This window comes from Homo sapiens, chromosome 14 (genome assembly GCF_000001405.40).
Source record: "Homo sapiens chromosome 14, GRCh38.p14 Primary Assembly".
Classification (NCBI taxonomy): Eukaryota; Metazoa; Chordata; class Mammalia; order Primates; family Hominidae; genus Homo; species Homo sapiens.
Genome location: NC_000014.9, coordinates 36460035 through 36465758, shown reverse-complemented (window position 1 = coordinate 36465758; position 5724 = coordinate 36460035). Strand labels below are relative to the sequence as shown.

Sequence of the window (5724 nt, the reverse complement as noted above, 5' to 3'; positions counted from 1 at the left end):
ACCTGCCGGCTGCCACCTCAAAGTGGGATTTCATGCAGGTTCCAGTATTTAAATATTATGTTCACGGCCAAGCCTGCAAAGACACTTACACCAATCTGGCCATGCCCATTTTATTTCACAATTATCTCTGTCTTTCTTCATGAAAAGCATGCACTTAACTCCCTTTTAATTGTGTTTGAACTGTGTGGGCAAGAGATCTTCAATACTATACTCTCTCTTCCTTAGTCCAGAGCAAGTTCTGCACTCTCTCCCTCTCAGATGTCAGCAGACATCAGAATTACTGGAAAGCAGCACTTTCTAACTTGCATGAATATTCATCTGACCTCAGAAACTAGTCGCTGGGCAAAGTAAACACCCCACACTTACATTAACTAAAGGTGGTTTAAGGAAGGACCAACTTACGTAGTCCTCCTGGGCTGCTAATGCCTGCTGGTCTTCCAGCCCTACAGAGAACTTCCTTTTCTCTGCCACCATCACCGTGCACCGCCCCAACAACACTTTTTTTTTTTCTCATACTGAACTCCTAATTAAATTTAACAGTTTCAAGAGTTTAAACTGTATACCTTTTTAATTGTGTCCTACTTTGTATTGGCTGATGCACAAGTCTGAAAATGGATATTACAGCTTTTTATGATATAATATCACCCTAATTGGTGCTTCATAGGCCGTGGCTGAATTCTTTTCAATTAAGCTCTAACATACAGTAACTGTTTCTCTCTGCAAATGCTGGAAAGCCATTCACAAGAGAGGACTGGTACTGCACAATTCCAAAGCACCTTAATGTGTCAAAAATGTTTTGTGAAGAAAGCTACACTGTAAATGCAATCACCTACATTGGTGTTCCCATTGTTAACTGGGAGTGAAAGTATTGCTAATTGTCCTGCGTTTTAGCTGGGTTTTTAAAGCATTATGTAGTAAGTACACCGGAGGGTCAATTTGTGAAGTGAAATACTTAGCATGCAAAGCGTAATACAAGATGCTGTGTAATACTTGACCTCTCAGCATAATAAATGTAGCAGTGAAACGCTGTGCATTCAGTATTCACTGAATAGAGCCTTCGCAGTGGAACAAAACCAGAAAATGTTCTCTTCATTCCTTTTTTTTTTTTCACTAAGCGAAAATTATTCTTTATAATGGCCATTGCAGCAATTAGCTGGCATTTGGTAGAATAAATGTGCAGAAATAGCAATTTCTTATTTTAAATGAGATTTTGTATGGAGCCTGCAAATTACTTGAGGTATATGAATAATTGTGCCTTAGCTTTATGCTACAGAATAGGGTGTGGGTGAGTATAAAGATTTCCTATTTGCAGTTAAATGTTTAGACATTTTATTATTTTAATTTCACTCACAGTCTGCCTGGATTGACCTGCTTTCCCATTGATCATTTCATGTGCGCCTGGAAGCAAGTGTGCAGATGGCGGGAGACTCCCAATTAGTGCACCATGTTTTTTATGAATGTGACATGTAAGTGCAATCAGGTCTCCTCTGGAGGCAACAGCAGTGTTTAGAGTTTGTGATCCTAAATCAATACAATTTAATAATCTGCATGGAGTGAATACTTATCAATATTCTCTGTGGTCAATTGGAAACTTCATTAAATTTTTATCAAAAGTTTTTCACCTTATTGAAATGCAGTCTTCCAGGCATCCATGATCCATCTAATTAGCCTTAAGTAGGGTATTTTTTTCTCTCTCAAAGTGATTCAGTTAATTATGTCCATATATTCATAATTATAAGGTAGATGAGTTGGGTAAAACTGAAATTATGAAAGCTGCAGAGAGATTCTATGAGGCTTAGAATGTGGAATATAAAAAAGGGGTGAGTAAAAAATTTAGAGCAAAGAAATACTTTTTTAAAATCCCCCTCAGCCCGCCCTACTCCCATAGCCTTCTTACAAGGTTTTGTGTATTTAATTTTTCATTTATCATTTATAATCCAACAACTTCTGAAAATTGATTTTAGATAAGCACATAGTAAATAATAATTTAAAAGGCAAACACTACAAATACTAAAAACATTTGACTAATGCCTTGAAAGTTATTTTTAATTTAAAAGAATTTAAAGATGAACTATTCAAACAGTTTTTTAAAAGTCCCTTTTGCCCACTGGCTACCACTAGTCCCTAGTTCTACCAGTCCTCAGATCGCCTACCAGATGTAACCACTTTAGTCAGTTTCCTGTGTTTTCTCTTTCTACATTTCCAAATTCTTTCTTCTTATTCCAGTCCCTCACACATTCTACTTATATATTCTAATTTCACATATTCTGCATCATATCTTAAATTTCAAGAATTAAAAAAAAATTCCCTAGGCAACTTTTCAAGCCCAAGAATTATTTTTATCTCTAAACTTACATTTTTAGTTTTTTTCACAAAATTAATTTGTCTACCTTAATTTTCATTTTACTTAAAAGCTAAGCATATACAACTTTTTACTCAAACTACTGTTCTTTCTACAATTGATACCAAAAATTCCTCTGCCAAATACTATAATGAAGGCATGGATTATCAAATGATGAAACTCATCTGTTAAATCCAACCTGTGTTTCTACAAAATTAGAAATAACGCCAATTAGTCACTGTTAATTTAATCTGGGTAAAGTGATGTTCTCATATAGCAAGTACATACCTATCCTTCATTGCTCAATAAGCAAGGCTTATCAGTTGGACTTCACAACAGGCCTCAGGGAGGGCACTGGGCCATTATATTACTGTCTTTGCCTAATGATCATGCTCAAAATCTTCAGAAAATTGCATAGCCACTGACCAGAAAGAATTGTATATGATTTCTGTCCCACTTTAATGCCTCCACATATTTTTCCAATGGGGCAAACACCAAGTCACAATCAATCATATTTTTAATATTTGAAGTGATTTACAGTAGACCCAGGTAGTTGACAAGAATAAATTTAATTTGTAAAATTATATATGTGAAATGAAAGAACATGAGACATAACATTTTTCTTTCTAATTATTCCTTTCTGAAACGTTCCTCATGAAACCTTCCAAAGGAGAAGAATGTGGAAGACTAAGGGCAAAATTTCATCCACATATTCGTGAGGTATAGGTAAGTGCAATATAGATAACTATATGGGTAAAGATATTGGTACGTTAAAACACAGAAAGAAATGTTAACTGTGTTTTCATATTGTTGCTGTTAAGGAATGATGCCTCGGACAATTCTTTTCTTTTTTTTTTTCTTTGAGACAGGGTCTTGCCCTGTGGCCCAGGCTGGAGTACAATGGCGTGATCATGGTTCACTGCAGCCTTGACATCCTGGGCTCAAGGGATCTTCCCACTTCAGCCTCCTGGCGTGCACACACCTCTGGAGTAGCTGGGAATAGAGGCATGTGCATGCCCGGTAATATTTGTATTTTTTGTAGGGTTTCACCATCTTGGCCAGGCTAGTATCAAACTCCTGGTTCAAGAGATGTACCCACCTTGGCCTCCTGAAGTGCTGGGATTACAGGTGTGAGCCATCGCATGCAGCTGATAACTCTTTTCAAGATATTTCAGGTCATTCTGGTCATCTAATAGCTCTTTAACATATCCTGAGAGGTAAGCAGGTGATTTTAAGGATAGTTCATTCTAAAAAGGGAGGTACAAGTAGTGAAAATTGGTTGTACATAAACTATTATTCTCAGTATCATTGAAAGTTTTACATTATTGCTATAAAATTAGATGACAGTATTCTCACCTGGAACATTTACTTGGGTATAACCTTTCTCTTTCAAAAGTTGAGCCGAATATCTACATAGCCGGTGCTTCCTGCTTTGAGTGTCTACTTCAAAAAAGGAACCTTACTTTTTCTGTCCCAAGGAAACTCTAGGAAAGGGCTTCATCGCAGTTCACCCAAATGGAATAACTCACCATTTTCCCTGTCTCTTCATGCTCTCCTCATCCTGCCTTCCCTTAGGATGGGTCTCCACTCTGGAGTCTTCTCTTCATTCCCACCCCTGGCTGTCCAATTTCTTCTCTCTTTCAACACCTAGGTCAAATGTTCTCCCCCATTAAGCTCTCTCTGCTGTCCTAGTTAGAAGGAATTCCTCTCCTAAACCAGAAGAGCAATTTACCTTTCTTCCTCTTGTATTTATGTACACTTGATCACCCCCCTGCTTGACTACTGGCTTCTTGGGAGTAGGATTCAAGTCTGCACAAATTCCAGTGCCTTATACTTTGTGAGTGTACAAAAAATACTTCTTGAATGAATAAATTGGTAAAATTTAATGCTGGTCAGTGATCCATTATTACATATGGTGAAAAGCTCCAAACAACCAAGGAAATACAAACATTCCAGGAATGACTTTATCCATTCTCTAGAACACAGCATTGAGCTTTTCTAATATTCTCATAAGTTTCCAGATAGCAGGGTGCTTTGGATTTATCTGGACCAAAGACAAAATAGCTGGCAACTCAGCTGGGATCTTTTGCTACAGAGCTGCTGTGCAAGCAATTCAAAACATAGATTAACAATTCTTTTCAACCAGCCCTCAATCATGAATGTCACAGAGATGGACCTCTGTGATCCTGAACAAGTTATATATCTTGCTAAGCCTTAGTTTCCCCAGCTATAAACTGGGGACAATAATACTTGTTTCACATGATTAAATTAGATTAAATGAGATAAAAGTGCCTAATGGATAGAAAAATGGTAAAATTACGGCAAGGCTGTCAAAGATAAGTTCTGAGGAATCAGCCCACTTTTGTGAACACATATCTCATTGTATTATAATAATCAGAAAACAGTCTGTCTCCAACACTAGACTATGTAACATGTGAGGGCAAGGCCAAACTCCTATTTATTTCTGTATCCCCAGTGCCTGAGTCCTGGCACATAGTAAGTGCTCAGTGAAATCTAGTTAAATGAATGAAGAATTGAGGTTGTGTCTCCACCACAATTTAGCTACCTGTTTATTCTCAATACAAGCAAGAGGTAGCAGTTGAGATGTAATTATCGGAAAATAAGTCACACCCACAAAGGTATACATCAAAGTGAGAGCTCATTCACATACAATCAAGAAATACAACTTATTCTATTTTAATCCTGGATTATTGAGAGACGGTGCCATTGAAGGAAATCAATCTTCTCTTGTATAGGGTATGTATACTGTGATTAAAGTGTTTTTTAAATATTTATCAAACAACCACAGGCGGCTACAAAGGGCTGTGAATCTCTGAAATTAACATCCTGAAATTCTGCGTAGTGTTCTAAATGGTAGGGATTTGCCACTTCCTTGTCTTCAGGGAAAAATTACATTTCTCTTACTTTTGGCTTTCTGGTCACTTCTCTGGGGTGGGATTTCTGGAAAGATATCAGAACAAGTTTTTGGTGCATATTTCAGAAGGAAGGCTGTGGAGGTGTGCAGAGGAGGCTTATCAAATGGTCTTCCCATTGGACTAGTGTTCTAGGCTCTGAAGACCTTTCTAGAGGAGGCTTATCAAATGGTCTTTCCATTGGACTGGTGTTCTAGGCTCTGAAGACCTTTCTAGACTTGGTTTTTCCTTCCCTCAAAATTTTAAACATTTTAAGAAGCAATTTCTATATATTGAATAACCACAATATAAATCTGAACATTTTTCAATTCATTCCTGATGCTTATGCTTTATAGAATCTGGTTTTTCATGCTGTTTAGAGTCTGAAAGTTTCAATTGTGCTTCTGTTATGCTCCTTTCCTTGAGAAATGGCCGGGTTCTAAAGTGCCCCTCCTCCTATGGCAAAACAAA

The 5724-nt window shown here is 37.3% G+C and overlaps 1 annotated feature.

The window, feature by feature from the left end:
- Positions 432 to 1814: an enhancer, noted in NCBI's record as "VISTA enhancer hs704". NCBI's record gives its function as "enhancer in: hindbrain (rhombencephalon)[6/6] | midbrain (mesencephalon)[6/6]" and the evidence as "EXISTENCE:transgenic organism evidence [ECO:0001131][PMID:17130149]".